Source organism: Homo sapiens, chromosome 12 (genome assembly GCF_000001405.40).
Source record: "Homo sapiens chromosome 12, GRCh38.p14 Primary Assembly".
Taxonomy (NCBI): Eukaryota; Metazoa; Chordata; class Mammalia; order Primates; family Hominidae; genus Homo; species Homo sapiens.
In genome coordinates, this window is record NC_000012.12 from 62,569,799 (window position 1) to 62,589,421 (window position 19,623).

General features: G+C 34.8%; 1 protein-coding gene across 15 annotated transcripts in view; it reads left to right on the top strand.

Annotated features, from left to right (window-relative positions):
- Positions 1-19,623, top strand: part of MON2 (MON2 regulator of endosome-to-Golgi trafficking) — a 133,651-nt gene that overhangs the window by 102,973 nt on the left and 11,055 nt on the right. For 11 of the 15 annotated variants that reach the window (XM_017019045.2, XM_047428542.1, XM_017019043.2 and 8 more), the window contains 5 exons: positions 1,594-1,784; positions 8,647-8,707; positions 10,499-10,622; positions 15,496-15,703; positions 18,276-18,358. In XM_017019045.2, coding sequence (XP_016874534.1) covers positions 1,594-1,784; positions 8,647-8,707; positions 10,499-10,622; positions 15,496-15,703; positions 18,276-18,358 — 667 coding nt within the window. Of the gene's footprint in view, positions 1-1,593; positions 1,785-4,335; positions 6,391-8,646; positions 8,708-10,498; positions 10,623-15,495; positions 15,704-18,275; positions 18,359-19,057; positions 19,119-19,623 lie in introns of those variants that run through there. The other 4 variants (XM_047428543.1, XM_047428545.1, NM_001278469.3 and 1 more) reach the window with 3 other exon arrangements.

The window sequence follows — 19,623 nt, forward strand, 5'->3', positions numbered from 1 at the left end:
GAAGGGGATAAATAGATTCTGGGTGTGCTAATTATCTGTTAATGAAGGCACATTTCAAGCTAATATGTAATGGTTAATATGTATATTGTATGAGTATTCAGTAATAATTTGTGTGGAAGATGATGATATTTGGTTTTATGTCCTTGAAATATGAAAATTTTTCTACTTTTAGACCCAAATTTTTACGTAACAGCAGAATTTTTACTCTAATGCAAATTGCCTGACAGTATGCCAAAACTGTTTGTCAGTGGTGCTGTGTGTTAGTTCATTATGATGTTTTGGTTAATCTAGTGTTCTAATTGCAAGATAGAACTGTGATCAGAGAAATTCATTCTGAACCACCAAATTAGTTCTTTTAATAAATAAAAGCCACCTGTCTCAAAAGTTGATCAGTTGAAAAGAGAAGTCACTATACTTAGTCACTATATATCTAGTCACTGTACATGACTCAAACGCTCTACTCCTGTACCCCTCAATGGTCAAATCTTAAATTATCAGTTTTACTGAACTATTTGGAGAAGGAAAAAAGTACACAAAAATAGAAGTAAAAAAGTACACAAAAATATTAGAGTAGGATATAAAATTCAAATAATTTTACAGATAGAACATACAACTTCAAAGTATTGACATTTTATGTTGTGTTTACTCTTCCCTCACCATTAGTGGGAAAATACAGTCATGTACTGCTTAAGGACCGAGATACGTTCTGAGAGATGCATCATTAGGCCGTTTCATCGTTGTCTGAACATCATAGTGTACTTACACAAACCTAGATGATATAGCCTACTTCACACCTATGCTATATGGTCTAACCTATATATGTGGCAGATGACTGCATAAGCAATATTGACCCTTTGCATATGGGATATCCACATCAGCCAAATTATTTTTTGCTGGAATAACTATGGCAGAATTTTCTTTTTCTTTTTTTTTTTTTTTTTTTTTTTTTTTTTGAGACAGAGTCTCACTCTGTTGCCGGGCTGGAGTACAGTGGTGTGATCTCGGCTCACTGCAACCTCTGCCTCCCGGGTTCAAGCGATTCTCTGCCTCAGCCTCCTGAGTAGCTGGGACTATAGGCACGTGCCACCACACCCAGCTCATTTTTGTATTTTTAGTAGAGATGAGGTTTCACCATGTTGGCCCAGATGGTCTTGATCTCTTGACCTCGTGATCCACCCACCTTGGCCTCCCAAAGTGCTGCGATTACAGGCGTGAGCCACCACGCTTGGCCAGAATTTTCTAATCCATAACATCGGGTTAAGAAAAGGTACAGAATTGTGTTTCCTTCTCTTAACTTTTCAGATAATATCCCTATTATTTATGATGAAAAACTGAGGTTCAAAAATGTTATTTATGTAGGCTCATTGTTTATAAGATAGAGATAGGATTTAAAAGTATATCTTTCCAGGCAGTATTTGAGGACTACGTCTGAGAATTGGCCTTTCTGCGAAATAACATCCTTTTTAAATGAAAATACCATCCTTTTTAAGATGAAAATACCTATGCTATTTTTTCTCTGCTGTAGTTTTTCTTAATTAAAATTGTGTGTGTATGTTTTAATTAATGCTTATATTAAACTGTCTTTATTTTCAGACTCTTAGGGTTCCTCTCAGTTTGAAGTATTCCTGCCCTTCTGAAAGCACATGGAAACTAGCAGTATCCTCTCTCCTCAGAGTTCTTTCTATTGGGCTACCTGTTGCCCGGCAGCATGCTTCTTCTGGAAAATTTGACAGTATGTGGCCAGAACTAGCCAATACTTTTGAAGATTTTCTCTTTACTAAAAGGTCAGCTCATTCATTTTTAAAATTAAGACAAGAAGTGGCACATTATATCTTCAGTTGCTCTAAAAACAGTTGTCTTTATTCATTAACAAAGTAATTGATTATAAAGGTTGCTAGATTGTATTAAAAACACACCTGAATTAGCCATTTATCCATTGGGTACATTATCCATGAACAATGGAGATTTTTGCTTTTTGTATTTTTGCTTATAAGACAGGAATATTATATATAAAACAATACAAATGCATCATATTTAAGAATTTTAACTTAATAAAACTAAGAAGATTCAGTTTTTAATTTGATGCCCATTGGGCATTGCAAGAGAAAAACAATGTTAGAAAATCAGTGTATTACCAGAATAAATAGGATGAGTGGCAATATAATGATCAGCTCTTTAAGATGTTTAGATTTGTCAAAGATTAACAATTTTCATTGTATGGTATCTAATTTAAAGCTTGTATTTAGGATGCTATTTCAACCCCTCACTGAACTACTTACTGTAGGATGATTGGAACACAGACTACATTTTTTGAATGAAGAATTTGCTGAGGTCCATCTAGAGTTGTGCTATTCAGTACAGTAGCAATTGCTAGTTACAAATGACTAATTAAAACCAAACTTTAAATAAAATTAAAATTTTCTTCAGTCTCTCTAGGCATGTTTTAAGTACTCATTGCCACGGGTGACTAGCAGCTGCCACACTGGGTAGAGCAGATTATTGGACATTTCCATCATCACAGAAAGTTGTGTTGGGCAGGACAGATTTAAAGCGTGCCCTTTTACTAAATGTGGACTTGTCTGTAATAGCTGTAATAGCCAGGCAGTGTTTAATCCTTCTAGCACAAGTAATTATCGTTTGTGTTACATTGGTGAAATTCTTTTCTGAGACAGAGCCTTGCTTTGTTGCCCAGACCCAAGTGCAGCAGTGTGATCACAGCTCACTGCAGCCTCGACCTCCCAGGCTCAAGCAATCCTCTCACCTCAGCCTCCTGAGTAGCTGGGACCACAAGTGCACACCACCACACCTGGCTAATTTTAAAATTTTTTGTAGAGATGGAGGGTCTCACTGTGTTGCCTAGGTGTCTTGAACTAACTTCTGGGCTCAAGTGATCCTCCCACTTCGGCTTCACAAAGTGCTGGGATTACAGGCATGAGCCACTGTGCCTGGCCAATTTTTTAAATGTTTGTATCCATCAATCATTTTTTGATATTGTAGAATGATACCGTGTACTGCTAAATAACCATTTAACATTATTAGTTTGAAGCCACTTAAATTATGGATTTGATGTACTTGAAGAAAAAAACTACATTGGCATATGGATAATGATTGAGTCCACAACAGAATGAATTAACTGAAAAAAATTTTCTTTACTATTCTAATATGGTTTAGTTATTCAGTAAAAAAAATTTCTAGGGTGCAGAAGATTAACTTGCATTTTCCCAGTAAAAGTTTGTCTTATAGTTCAGAATTTAAAATAATAACAGGTGATCCTAATTTCTGTCTTGCAAGTGGTCAGACTTTGTTTTGTAGTTTATGTATTTTTCACTTCTAGAAATGTTATTGATACCAATGTAAGCATACTCTGTTTCTGAAGGAAAAATTATAGGCGCTCATAAACTATATTCAAACAAATTATGTTTTCATCTTTAAAATAACTCTGAAAATTTGAGTTCCTTCGTAGACATAAGAGCCTGAGTCACTGTTAATTTGTATCAAGCACATAGGTTGAGAAATTTACATTTTTCCTTTTATTTTCTAATTGTCTATATATGCTTAATGCCCCATTAACAAATTGAATAAGCTTTCAGATCAGCTTTTTTTTTTTTTTTGCAATGAGTAAAACTTCTTTAAGTATTGCTTTCCCTAGCAAGGTGTGGTGACACACCTGTAATCCCAGCTACTTTGGGAGGCTGAGGTGGGAGGATTGCCGAGGCCCAGGAGTCAAATCCAGCCTGAGCAACATAGCAAGATCCTGTATATAAAAAAAAATGGTTTTCTATGTAAAATAATAATATTTTATATAATTTTGTATTAATGCAGTTGTAGTATAATTTCATTTAAAATTTTAGCTCTAAATTTGGAGGTTTTTTTTTGCTTGTTTTTGTTTTTCTTGAGAGTTTTTCTGCCATCTTCCTTATTCTTGAATTTCTTATTAAATATTCTTCACTTTCTGGACTTTATTCTTATTTTATTAAATCCCGTTTTCTGAAGTTTTTTAATATAGAAAAGTGGACACTGGAACCAAAGGCCAAATAATAGTATTTTACATAATTTTGTATCAATGCAGTTGTAGTATAATTTCATTTAAAATATTTTGCCTGATTATGGCTCTACTTACCTTAAAGGTTTGAGTATGTTTGGTGTGTTGGAAAATACATTACTTAAGAAGCAGCCAGCATAGTGGATAAGAGCATTGGCTTGGCAACCAGACTACCTGGATTCAAATCCCAGTAGTACTACTTTGTACTACTTTTTAGACAAGTTATTAAACCTTTCAGTGACTCATTTTTCCTCATCTGTTAAATGTCAATAATAATGCTCCCTAACTTACAGGGTTATTGTGAGGATTAAATCACTTAAAATGAATGAATGCTTAGAATAGCACCTGGCATGTAAGTACTTTAAAATGCTTGTTTCCACTATTATTGTCATTAATGTTTTTTCTTTCTTTTAAAAAAGGTGACATTATCCATATTAATTCCCATGAAACAACTATTATTTTAAACCAAAATTCTAAAGGCCAAAACTCTAAATGACTGAGACTTGGAAATTTAGCTCTAAATTTGGAGGTTTTTGTTTGTTTTTGTTTTTCTTGAGACAGTGTCTCGCTCTGTCACCCAGGCTGGAGTGAAGTCGCATGTTCATGGCTCACTGCGGCCTTGACCTCCTGGCCTCAGGTGATTCTCCCACCTCAGCCTCTCTTGTAGCTCGGACTATAGGCATGCACCACCACACCCAGCTAATTTTTGTATTTTTTTTGTAGAGATGGGATTTTGCCATGTTGCCCAGGCTTGGAGTTATTTTTAATGGCTAAAAATAATAAAGCTTCTAAATTCAGCTCTCAAGTAACACAGTATCAGTATTCTAAGTTATGGTTATTCTAGTTACAGATTTAAGCTTTCTACTCCATGGAGTAGTTGATGAACACCCTAGATTGAGAGTCAGGAGACCTGTGACCTGGTCCTGACTTGCTGTCTACTTTCTGTTGATCGTGAGCTGGTCCTTTCCCATCACTAGGCATTATTTTCTTTATTTGAAAGACAAAAAGAAGGCCAACCGGAGTACGTAATCCCAGCATTTTGTGAGGCCAAGTTGGGTGGATTGCTTGGGCCCAGGAGTTCAAGACCAGCCTGGGCAACATAGTGAGACTCCGCCTCTACAAAAAAAATTTAAAAATTAGCCAGATATGGTGGCATGTGCCTGTAGTCCCAGCTACTTGGGATGCTGAGGTGGGATGATCACTTGAGCCCAGGAGGTTGAGATTGCAGTGAGCTGTGACTGTGCCACTGCACTCCAGCCTGGGCAACAGAGTGAGACCCTGTCTCAACAAAGAAAGATGAAAAGTTATTTGTTGGAGTAATTGTAAAGGTCCATGAATGTTTAATCATGGACAGCTTATACTGGATAAAGCCAGTTTAGTTTTTGTTTCATAGTTCAAAAATACTTTAAGGCTCAAATTGAAAGCTTTTATTGGTCAGTTGATACTAAAAGTGCAGTGTTAAGAGAACTTAAAAACCATGCACATTTTCAGTTTCATAACAGGTTTTCTCTTTGTTTTTATTTTCTAAATAATTGATAACTTTGGAGGTCATAAACTTTTAGATTTTAAACCTTACTTAATGCCACATATGTACTATGTTCTATAGCTGAAGTTTATCAGTAGTGTTTGAACAGTAGGAAGATTGTTTTGGAAAGTTGCTTGGAATAGCAAGACTTAATGAATTTAAATAAGACTAATACTTGATTATTTTTTATATTGGTACCTTTATAAATCCTTTAACCTAATTAATACATACTCTAAGACTTTAAGAATAAACATATCTCTGTCTGTAATATTCCCCAAACTTTTTGATCTGCAAGATGCTTTGGCAAGGGAATACAATAACACAGAAAATACAAATAAAATGAACTAGCAGAAAAGAAAGCCTTTGCATGTCGTTGAGGGCTATAAGTAAACAGTTTAAGAGAAAGAAAAAGACAAAGTTGAAAAACACAAGGACTGCAATTTGGTAGACACTTGAAGTCTATTAGAAATTCATTTAGCCAACTTTGAGTACCAAAACATGGTAGTTATAAAGGAGACACAATGGGTGAGTGGGAAGTTACACAATCTGTGGACCTTACATTAAAAATCACAAAGTACTGTGCAAAAGAATTGAAAACACATGTTTACACAAAAACTTGTACACTAATGTTCATAGCAGTGTTATTCATAGTAGCAAAAAAGTGAAATTGAATGTAATATATTCAATATTCAATATATTGAATGTAATATAGTAGCAAAAAAGACAAATTGAATGTAATGTATTCATACAGTGGAACATTATTCAGCCATAAAAAAGAATGAAGTGCTAATGCATGCTCAAACATGGATGAACATTTACAACATAATGCTAAGCGGAAGAAACTAGACACAAAAGGCTATATATTGTATGATCTTGTTTATGGGATATATCCAGAGTAACAAATCCATAGAGACAAAGTAGATTTATGGTTCCCAGGAGTTGAGGGGAAGGGAGATGAGGGAGAGTGACTGCTAATGGGTACAGATCTTTTTGGGGGGGTGATCAAAATGTTCTGGAATTAGAAATGGTGATGGTTGTACAACTTTATGAATATACTAAGGAACACTAAATTGTATATTTTAAAAGGGTGAATTTTATAATATATAGATTATATTGCAACAAAAATTTTAATATGTCATACAGAGAGAACTGACAAAATACAAATAACACTTTATAAGTTTGAAGGCTCTTTTTTATTTTAAATAAAGATTCATGAAAATAAATTTTTAAAGATTACTGTAGTTTTCAAATTTAAGGAATTTAAGATCTTACATGGCTTATTTGTAACCTGCAGTATTGACCATTGCCCCTTATAATTTATAGGTAAATTCTGTTAATCAGCATTTTTAAAAGCTCAATCGATGTTTTTGATATGTTTGCTAGTTATAAATTAAATAACTATTAGTTATCCAGTTTTTAGTTTTGTATGCTACTCTCTTCCCTCATCATATGATATTTTAAAAATCTAGTTCAGTGTTTCTGATATATGATCCAAATAATATTAATATTATTAATGTGTTGAAATAAACACACTAATACACCTTAGCACACAGTATACACACTAAAAGTATTAATATTGTTAGTGTGTATATTTCTATAAACACTAATAATATAGAAATATACACACTAATAATATTAATATTATTTTATTATTTTTGCCTCTTCATTTTTTGTTGATCATCAACTCATCCTTAGTTACCTCCACCATCATCACAAATCTTTTAATATTACTAAACCCTTACCTTCCTTGGTTATAAATTAAAATTAAACACAACTTTTGTCTCTAGAGATGCAGATATAGTCTGTGAAGCTGCTTTGATGGCAGTGATTGTGAAATTCCTCTGATTGGTTCAGGTTTGGGTAAATTTCTTTCAGTTTTTTTACTCTAGTTCCTACTACCAATTTATAGTTAGCTTAGGACTTGGACACCAGAATCTAAGTTCTATGAGAAATGGACTGAGTCTGTCCTGTTCACAGCTAGATCTTGAACACCCAAGAATATAATACCTGATGCAAAGTAGTTGGTACTCAGTAGATATTTGTTGAATGAAAAATGTCCAAATCAAAGAAACCACAGTCTGATGCCCATATATTCCTATATACAAAATTGTACATTATACTTAATATACAGAAGTGTATATTAAACCTAAATGTTCTAATACTATTTTTACATCTACAACATAAAAAAGAATAATGTAGGCTCAAATATCAGATAAATCTAGGTTGAGATTGTGGCCTCATCATTTACTTAAAGTGTGTTCTTGGGCATATTAGTAGGCATTCTAAGTTTCAGTTCCCTCTTCTCTTGATTATATAATAATTACTACATGGAATTGCTATGGGAGATTAATACAAATAAAGCTCATAGTACTGTGGCTGTCTAACTTTTTAGCTGTCATTATTCTAACAGTTATTACTATCCTATTCTCAACTGTTTTTAAATAGTATCTTGCTGTTTTTTAACTTTATGTCCATTTTACTGTTCACTCTTATGAGCCACAGAGTCTGGAATCCACCTTGGTTCTCTCAGAACTATTGATTTTCTTTGTTCTTGTTGGAACAATTTTCTGCTTTAGAAAATCTGCATCAGTCTTCTTCTTTACAGATTTTCCCTCTTTATTGTAAAGATCTTTAATCCATTGTATTTATTACAAATTAATGATTAATGGACTGTCTCTGAGTGAATAATTCAGCAGCTGAACTAAGGCTGTCTTAAATAACCACCAATATAAGTGAATTCAGGTAACACCACAATGGTAACTTTTGCTCTGCTGCAGATGATAGCTCTTTACCTTTCGTTGTTTTTTCATTCATAATATTGAAATAAGTTTAGTTCTACAGATTTTATTTAGTTCAAGATTGGACCTAGTGTTTTTGTAGTTAGAGTATCATGTTTGTAATTAGCTTAGTCATTTAAACTAATGACTTTAATTTACAACATTACTCTTTTAAATAAATAATAATGCCCCAACCTGGGTTGGAAGACATAATTTTTTGACATTTGAATACTGTTTTTCTATTTTGTTTGTATTTGCAGGGAATATTTTATCTTTAAAAATCAAGTGTTTTTTTTTTTTAGCATACCTCCAGATAATCTCTCTATTCAAGAGTTTCAAAGAAATGAAAATATTGATGTCGAGGTAAGGAGGCTATTTAAAATGTTTTCCTGTGACCATTTTTGAAACCAAATAGTAAAAATGTTTGAACTATACAGTTGCTGAAAGAATAAAGTAATAGGTTAAGATTAAAACTGAAAGCATTAAAACTCTTACAGGTTAAACGTTGATGTTTAAAGGACTGGCATTTTAAAAGTGACTTCCTTAGATTTGTTACAGTCTTGTGCTTTGTGCGTGTTGTCCCAATACTTAGTTGTGTTCATTTAATAAGTTTAAAAAGAGTTTATTCGATGAAATAAATCCATCAGTCAGGAGGCATATATTTGAGAGCTTACTCTGCAGTTTGACATACCAGATGTTTCTGGTTCAAATTAATCAGAAAGTTGCTTGAATTTTTCAGTTTTTAATCAGCTGTATATACAGCCTATGGAATTCTTAAAGCAAATAGTGTTTTTTAAAGAATATATTTTGAGGCTGGGAACTGTGACTCGTACTTGTAATCCTAGTGCTTTGAGAGGCTGAGGCAGGAGGATTGCTTGAGACCAGGAGTTTGAGACCAGCCTAGGCAACATAGCAAGACACCATCTCTACAAAAAAAAAAAAGTTTTTTAAGTTAATTGGGCATGGTGGTTCACACCTGTAGTCCTAGTTTCTCGGGAGACTGAAGTGAGAGGATCACTTGAGCTCAGGAGTTGGAGGCTGCAGTGAGCTACAGCTGTACCACTGTGCTTCAGCCTGGGCAACAGAGCAAGACCCTGTCTCTGAAAAAAAAAAGTAAAAAAAATAAGTAAAAAAGTAAGAAATATGTTTTGAGGATTATAAATGGAATTTAAATAAGCAGTTCTTGTGGTTGTGGATTTTTTTGTTGATGGTAGGGTTTTGGTGGTTTTTTTCCTTTAAGTGGGATAGAGGAACTTTTAAGTAAATAAAATCAATTACATTACTTTAAAATATACATTTGGCCGGGCGCGGTGGCTCACACCTGTAATCTCAGCACTTTGGGAGGTGGAGGCAGGCAGACCATGAGGTCAGGAGATTGAGACCATCCTGGTTAACATGGTGAAACCCCGTCTCTACTAAAAAAAAAAAAAAAAATTAGCTGGGCGTGGTGGTGGGCCCCTGTAGTCCCAGCTACTTGGGAGGCTGAGGCAGGGGAATGGCGTGAGCCTGGGAGGCGGAGCTTGCAGTGAGCCGAGATCACGCCACTGCACTGCAGCCTGGGTGACAGAGCAAGACTCCATTTCAAAATAAATAAATAAATAAAATATACATTTAAAATGCATAGGCATTATCATATGGAAACAAAATATTGCCTTTCGTGCCATTACTGTATTAAAGCTCTTGTGGACTTTAAAGGGCAAAATAACATACTACATGTTAGAGATAAACTATTTGACAAAAATGAATATAACTTTAATTTCTCTTACAGCTGATAGTTTTTGGTTATAAAAAGTGATTTAAATGTTATTCTTAATCCTATTTTGAATATTTTAATTCTAACATGGGTAAATTTCATATGCTATTTTTCTCTAGAGCCCTATTTGCAGTTATCATGCTGAAGATCAACATTTGTCCAAATGGTTGGCATAGTAAACAGTTATGGTACTGACTATTTTGTATTAAAGTTACTAGGACAGATGAGAGAAACAGATTAGTAGTCATTCTGTATGTTAACATTAAAATGTTTGTGTACTTCTTTAAAGGAGAGTTCTTTAACTGATTTTCATTTAAAGTAAAATTTAAATTTTACTCTAGAAATTATTTTAGTCTCTTTCAAAGAAAACAATACATTTGCATTTGCCTCTTTTGTTTTAGGTAGTTCAACTTATCAGCAATGAGATACTACCTTATGCCAATTTTATTCCTAAGGAATTTGTTGGTCAAATAATGACAATGCTTAACAAGGGCTCAATACATTCTCAGTCATCTTCATTTACAGGTATGTTAATTTTTTTAAGTATTAAAAAGTATTGAAGTACTTTTGAAGAAACTGTCAGTAGAAATGTTTAATCCTATGATTTTGGTAATGTAAACTGGAGAATGGTAAGGTGATTTTTAGGATTGTAATATAGAACTAAGCTTTATGAGGAGAAATGTTATGACATGACTATTCTGTGGAATAGAATGTTTTTATTCCATGTTTCTATTCTGTGAAATACTGTGTTTCTGATCATATATCAGAAACACTGAACTAAATTTTTTAAATATCATAACTGCAAACTGTGAAGAATTAAATTGCAAAGCACTTTATGGAATCCATGGATGTCACTGCAGGCTGACAGAAGTTACCAGTTTTGTGAAGTCATAGATTGGAAAGGAATATAAAAATATGAATGTATATTCTGCCACTTAGCAGTCAATTAACTTTTGAGTCTCAGTTTTGTAATCTTTAAAATGGAGATATTAATACCATCTTCTCAGGACTATAAATTACAGAGTTCATTTAAAAAAATAAGATGCCTCAACATTTTTTAAGGGAATTAACATTTACTCAGTGCCAACTATGTACAAGATACTATGCTAGAATGTTATATTATTTCTCACAACATTTCTGTGAGGATAGGTAAGACCATATTACAGGAAAGAAAATTGATTTAGAAAGGTTGAAAAAATTGCTCACAATCTTAGGGCTAGAGGCCAAATTCATGCTTAAAAAGAACTACATGCTTCTTTTCATTATATCATGCTGCCTTAATTGGGAACTGATATATAAATTACTGTTTGTTATTAATTCTCTTTTTGTAAACCTGAGCTCAAGTCTTAAACTGTGGCATCAGCCAGGTGCAGTGATTCATGCCCATAATCCTAGTGTTCTGGGATCGCTAGGTGGGATCCCAAGGTGGGAGGATCGCTTGAGGCCAGTAGTTTGAGACCAGCCTGGGCAGCACAGTGAGACTGCCTCTGTCTCTACAAAAGATTTTAAAATTAGCTGGGCATGGTGACACATGCCTGTAGTCCTAGATACTCGGGTGGCTGAAGTGGGATGGCTTGAGCCCAGGAGGCCGAGGTGACGGAGTTATGATTGTACCACTGCATTTTAGAGTGCACTCTGGGCAACAGAGCAAGACTCTTGTCTCATATATATGTATATATGATTTAAAAACTACATTTTGGGAGGCCGAGACGGGCAGATCACTTAAGGTCAGGAGTTCAAGACCAGCCTGGCCAACACGGTGAAACCCTGTCTCCACTAAAAATAATTAGCCAGGTGTGATGGCATTTGTCTGTTATCCCAGCTACACAGGAGGCTGAGGCAGGAAAATTGCTTGATTCGGGAAGCGGAGGTTGCAGTGAGCCAGGATCACACTACTGCACTCCAGCCTGGGCGACAGAGCGAGACTGTCTCAAAAACAAAAAAGAAAAAAGAAACTGTAAATTTGTGCCATGCAGATCCTTAATCCTCAGAATTTACTAGAGCCTTAACTAGCTTCTCCTATTTTGTGCTGAGCATTTTAAAGAGCATTTATGTGTACAGTTTGACCACTAGATGTCTCTCATACTGCTCACTTCACATACTAGTTCTTTTTTCTAGCCCAAACAGTTTTTAAAACTGGCCTGGTAAAGTGTGGGTTTAGCAAACATGAGAATCTCGGGGAAAATTTTAAACCCCGCTTATCTTAATGTAGCCAACTTTTTATTATTAAGAGTATGTGAAAATATTTAACTTTTAATAAAATACACATTAAGAACAATATTCACAATTAGGTATAAATGTCCAAAGTTAAATAAGGGCTATTGAGTTACCAAGTATACTTTTACTGGCAGTTTTCTGATAATATATCTTGCTATGTATAGTATTAAATTTACCAAGACAAGAAAGGTGCATGGACATTCTTTCAGTGACTTTGCCATATGACACATGTCTTCTCAGCACTAACTTGGAGTTTTCCAACACCTGGGAAGCTTCACGTGAGAGTCCTTCACCACCACAACAATGCTCCTGCTCATTCCTCTCATCAGACAAGGGCAATTTTGTAAGAGTTTCAGTGGGAAATCATTAGGCATCCACTTTACAGTTGTAATTTGGCTCTTTTTGTTTTCTTTTTGTTTCGGATCTTAAAATACCATTGAAGGACAGCCTTTTTCTTCAGTCAATAATGTAAAAAAGACAGCATTGACATGGTTAAATTCCCAGGACCTCAGTTTTTTACAGATAAACTAAATGGCTGGTATCATCGCTTACAAAAGTGTCTTGAACTTGATTGAGCTTATGTTGAAAAATAAAGTTTGTAGTTTTCATTAAAAAAAAAAAACTTAGAGTTTTCCTTAAACATATACATACAAAACTTTTATTTGCTAAACAAGGCCAACCTGTAAACACAGAGGTTCCAGTGATGATTGGCCTTTTGCTTTTAAGTATGATCTGATAGTCAGAGCTCACAGACATTTGAGGAAATTCTCTAACACCAAAGAGAAAGACCAAAACAAATGAAGAGAGAGTAAAAGAAATTGGAAGGAAACAGATAAAATGCAGAGTCACTGAAAACATAAAACCAGTTAGGATGATCAAAGAGATAAAAGAACAATTTAAAAAATGCTACATAAAAGGAGCAGTAGAAAAAGAAAGAAGGCTGGGCACGGTGGCTCAGGCCTGTATTCCCAGCATTTGGGAGGCCGAGGCAGGAGGATCACTTGAGCCCAGGAGTTTGAGACAAGCCTGGGCAACATGGCAAAACCCCATCTCTACAAAAAATACAAATGTTAGCTGGGTGAGGTAGTTTATGACTGTAGTCCCAGTTACTTGGGAGGCTGAGGTGGGAGGATCACCTGAGCCCAGGAGAACAAGGCTGCAATGAGCTGTGATCACACCACTGCACTCCAGCCTAGGTGACAGACTAGAGACTCTGTCTCAAAAACAAAAAAAACAAGACGAGAAAGAACTCATAGAAACTAAAGATGTAGAGTTCAGTGAAAGGTAGAAAGGAGAAGTAAAATGAATCCAGGGAGCCTAACATCTGACAAAGAAAGAACAAAGAAAATCTAGGAGAAGGAATTATCAAAGAAATAAACTGAAGAACTGAAGAACAAAACTTCCAGATTAAAAATAGTCAGTATCAAAAACAGTGAAAGAAAAAAGACCCAAATCAGGCATGTCATTATGAAATATCAGAATACCTGGGATAAAGAGAAGACCCTAAAAGATTTCAGAAAGAAAGAAAAAAAGTTCAGTATAAAAGACATTGGAGGCCAGGCACAGTGGCTCATGCCTGTAATCCCAGCACTATGGGAGGCTGAGATGGGTGGATCACTTGAAGTCAAGAGTTCGAGACTGTCCTGGCCAACACAGTGAAACCCTGTCTCTACTAAAAAAAAAAAAAAAATACAAAAATTAGCCAGGTGTGGTGGTGCGTGCCTGTAATCCCAGCTACTCGGGAGTCTGAGGTGGGAGGATCATTTGAACCTGGGAGGTGGAGGTTGCAGTAAGCTGAGATCATGCCACTGCACTCCAGCCTGGGTGACAGAGTGAAGACCCTGTCTCAAAAAAAAAAAAAACAAAAAAAAAAAACAGACAGTGGAATTCTCAGACGCAGTATTGGATGCTAAAAGACATTGAAGCAGTGGTTTTAGAGTTGTAAATGGAAAGGACTTTTAACATGGAAGCTCCATGTTAAAACTCATACTGTTGGCCAAGTATGAGTGTAAAACAGTAATTCTCCAATTTCAGCATGCATCCTAATCAACCAGAGGACAAGCAATTGCTGAGTTGTACCCCCTGAATTTCTGATTCAGTAAGACTGGGAGGCATGTGAATTTACATTTCTAACAAGTTCTCTGGTAATGCTGATGCTGCAGGGTACATTTTTGAGTACCATAATATATGACATTTTCGGAGGTACATGCGCTCAAAAGTTTTACTTCTCATTGATTGTTTCTTAGGAAGCTACTTCAAAATATGCTCTGTAAAAGCAAAGTAGTAAACCAAGGAAAAATAAGGCATGAGGCTGGGTGCCATGGCTCACGCCTGTAATCTCAGCACTTTGGGAAGCCAAGGCTGGCGGATCACGAGGTCAGGAAATCGAGACCATCCTGGCTAACACAGTGAAACACTGTCTCTACTAAAAATACAAAAAATTAGCTGGGTGTGGTGGCACGTGCCTGTAGTCCCAGCTATTCAGGAGGCTGAGGCAGGAGAATTGCTTGAACCCAGGAGGCAGAGGTTGCGGTGAGCCAAGATTACACCACTGCACTCCTGCCTGGGCAACAAGATGAGACTCTGTCTCAACAAAAAAAAAAAAAAAAAAAAAAAGGAGATCTTGGAAGTGGGATCTAACTTGAGAGAATGGAAACAATTTCCAGAGTGATGGCAAAGACTAGTTTCAGGATATAACAGAACAGCGTGTCTAGAGAGCAACTGCCGGACTGGAGCAGAGGTCACGTTCCAGGAAAGAAGTTGCTAGGAGAGGGAAAAAGAGAGAAAAAGAGAATACTGCAAGTTTGACCACATGAAAAACTATTGTGAAGTATATTTTACAGTGCTGTTTTATGGTATAGAAAGACCAAATCAAGAAATATGTTGAATAGAAGTGATGAGGATCTTGCCTTGTTTTTGATCTTGTGAGGGGGAATTTGTTTCTCTCTACATGCACACACACACACACACACACACACACACACACACACACACACACAAAACAAAAAAAAACAAAAAAAAAACACATTTTCACTATATGTATGCTATTAGCTATAGGTTGTTCTAGGTGCCTTTCACCAGATTGAGGAATTTCTCTCTATTCCTAGTTTGCTAAGCATTGTTATCATTAAAGCTCATTGATTTAACTTCTATTAACCATCAAAATTTGTTAATTTTACAGAAGCAGAGATTGATATTCGTTTGAGAGAGGAATTTTCTAAAATGTGTTTTGAAACATTACTCCAGTTTTCCTTCAGTAATAAAGTCACAACACCTCAAGAAGGCTACATCTCACGAATGGCACTCTCAGTGCTTTTAAAGAGGTCCCAAGATGTACTACATCGCTATATAGAGGATGAAAGATTAAGTGGTAAATGCCCTCTTCCAAGGTATATATTTCATTTTATTAAAGAAATAAATGTATTGTTGTACTAATTGTTGATAACAAGGAAAACTCTGAAAAGCAAGTGTTTTTGTAAGTGATCTGAACTAAGCTGAAGTTGTTTATAATCTTATTTATCCCATATGGTGTAAATATTCACAGGTTTTCCTGCAGATATATTAACATGTTTTGTTATGGGGTGCTTTTTTAGATCCCTCATGGAGATTATGTAACATATGATACATAGGTACCAAATTACCTTTTTGAATTAAAAAAAAATAAACTGAATTCCAAAATATATCTTCTTCCAGAGATTTCTGGATAAGTACTTGTGGATCTCTATGAGCACATGATATTATTTCTCTAAAGTGAAAATCATAAATCATATTTTAGGAATATCCTAGTTTGTTTTACAGTCATTTGCAGGTTTCTCTCTGTGTCAGCTAGCCTGATCTTAGGTCTTCTTTTCATCCAATCTGCTTAGTTAAGCCCATGGACCTAAACTGATTTATTTCTCATCTGTTCAGCCTGTGTCAGTGGAAGGTGCACTAGGCTTTTCTGATCAGCCAAGGCTAATCAGAGTTGGAGTACAGACCAGAATTCAACAAAGGATACAGTCATAAATTAGGGTTAGGTTTGCAAATACTTTTATAATGTGGAAATTAGAGTTTAAGGCATAACTAATGAAGCAAACAGAAAATAACATGGGAAAACAAAGTTATCAAAGTCAGGAAAGACGAAAATCATTGTTCCCGTCTCATAAGGTAGGACTGGAGAGGCAAATCACCAGTGTTAAATCTTTGTGCACATTTTAATTTACTTATAATAAATTTCTGAAGTTGGAATTGACCTGTCAAAAGGCACAGACATTTTATAGCTTTTGATATGCATTAACCAAATTTCCCAACAGAGATTTATACCAATTTACATTCTCCCAGGAATGTGTGAATGTCCCTTTCCTCAATTTTTAGCATTTTTAAATTATTTGCCAGTTTATCATTTATCTTTTTCTAATTTGATGAATGAAAAATAGTCATGTGGTACTTTGCTTTCATTTTTTAATTACCAATGCATATTAGCTATTTGTATTTCTTCTTTTAGGATCCAGTGTATTTTGAATTTCTAGAACTTAAATTATAACTCCTTATACTCAAATTTATACACAAAAACACTCCAAAGACAGATGTTAGTAATTTGGCTATGGGCATGATTGAAAATTGATTTCTGAAGTATACTTGGAAATGTGGTAATAAGGTTGTTTTGAGTGGAATATTGTTAGAACATATTTATATATTATAAAATATTTTTTGATTTCAGAAGAAAACTTTCACCTTATTTTTTAATGTTCTAAGTCTTTACTTTTTAACTACTACCTTTAAATTGAGCCTTATTTATAATTGTCCTATGAAGTTATATTGTATCATTCTGTGTTTGTTGCAGTATCATTTAATTGTTTTGTAAAAAGCTACATTGCAACACAATAAAATACTTCAATGCTTACAATAGGAAGTCTTGAAATAGTATCCTGACATGGTATTAGAAAGTCTTATCTGCAGAATAACACAAATGCACACCAGGAATGGGGAGGGATGAGGGCGGACCAGAGACCAGAAGAGCTTTGTTTTTATGAGGAGAAAGAAGGGAATCACGCTACTCTTGTTGACTCTTTACTCCAAGTTCATTCTTCATTGCTAATGTCTCCAAATAGTGCTACCTTAGGATTGATTTCCAGAATGTTTCTTGTTTGTATTATTAGAAAGTTAAATAAGTACCATTGTAATTTTGAATATACTTTCAACAGCATGGTAGAATATATGCCATGTGGTAATAGTAGTCTTTGTTTCCATTTAAGCTTTGGCAAATCTCTTTTAGTACTAATTAGTTTAAAAAAAAAAAAACTTGTAGAGAAGTTTTAAAAGCATGTATTATAAAATGTTTTAAGGGCAGGGCACAGTGGCTCATGCCTGTAATCCCAGCACTTTAGGAGGCCGAGGCAGGAGGATCACTTGGCAGGGGGATCACTTGAGCCCAGGAGTTCGAGACCAGCATGGGCAGCATAGCAAGCAAGACCTTGTTTCTACTTTAAAAAAAAAAAAAAATTAGCCAGACAATGTGGCATGCCCCTGTAGTCCCAGCTACTCGGGAGGCTAAGTGGGAGGATCACTTGAGCGCAAGTCAAGGCTGCAGTGAGCTGTGATCTCACCATTGCACTCCAGTCTAAGTGACAGAGCAAGACCCTGTCTCAAAAAATCAATAAATAAAAATAAAACGTTTTAATTTTAAGTAGTTATGTGAAATATCTTACAAATAAATTTAATTTTTCAGGAGTAGATTGCCCCACCTCTTTATTAATTGATAAGTCATGGCAAGAATAACTACAAATTTGATTTGCACACTGAAGTACATATAAATAAAATGATTTTTACTTTTATATGAATTTAAAACTAACATTAACCTTGCATTGTATTGTGTTCAGTATTTTTCAAAAGTTCATCTATTTGTACAAACTTAGTTTAAAAAACAAACATACCTGGCAACTTTAAAATCTTAATGGAAATGATTTCCTATCTCTTTTTCAGGCAACAAGTAACAGAAATTATATTTGTTTTAAAAGCAGTCAGTACTCTTATTGATTCACTTAAGAAAACTCAGCCTGAGAATGGTAAGTGCTTAGAAACAGTTATTCTAAATTCGTAACATTTATGTTCTATTTGTGATGGACTTTTGTCTGTTAATTTAACTGAATTATAGGAACATAGCAGTCATTAGACTTCTTTTCTCCAGTTCTCATGACAACAAAGCATCAAGTCCATTAGGATGTCAATTAAGTAAAATTAATTTGTGATGTTTTCATTTTTTATGAAGCAGTCTACCTTACTTTTTTTTTTTTACTATATTGTTCTGAAGTCAGGTTATTGCAAGAATAATCCATATTTCATATATTTTTAATGTAGAAGATAATTGACTTATTTGGGGACAGGTGGAAAAGGGCTTTATCATCTATTCGTACTGATTTACTTTGCAGATACAAACTGTATAAATAACTTTGAATCATTTTTACCATTCTTTCTCATTTGTTTGCCCTTTCTGTTGTTCATTCCTGTCCAGTCCATTCTTTACATGATAGCCGGAAATGATTTTTCCATAGTAGGGCTTTGATCATTTATTTCCTCATCCTCCCAAAGCAAAAAAATATTTTTCATTTACCGTTTCCTACCAAATTGCAAAGAATACTCCAGTCTGACTCCATTCTAGTCACACTTTATTTCCCACAATAGATTTCATTTCCCCTACTCTGCACTAAACTAAAATTCTCAATCTTCCCAAATTTTTTCAACCTTTTGTTTATTTCATTATCCAGCTTGTATCAGCCTATTTGGAATACCACCCTACTTTTAAACCTTGTTTTTAATCTCTTAAAGGTAAATAATTTTTCTTTTCATTGAATGCAAAGCTTTTTTATGTGTACTTGTCTCGAAGCACTCTATTTGTATTACAATTATGCATGTACATGACTCATCTCCCTTTACATTGTTAAGATTTTTGAGGGGCTTTTCAGACCATGTTTTGTTCTATTTTGAATCCTCTACAACATTGCTTTTCAAAGTATGGTTTGTTGGACCAGCCATTGATTGGCTTCAACAGTTTTGTTACTGGTCTGGGACAAGATAGTGAGCTGGCATCAGAATATAAATCAGATGTGTCACTAAACACACTGCTTGGTTCAGCTGACTTTTTTTTATACAAGAAGACATTGGTAAAGAAGAAAACTGTGTGTTGGTTTACATTCTGGCACAAGCTTCTTATTTTGTAGCAGATTGGCACCTTAAGGAGCATTACTTTTAATATCCAAGAAAAAAGTAGATTCCTAGTAAATTACTAATGAATGAGTTGTAGGATATTTGTTCCTGTCAACTATTATATAAG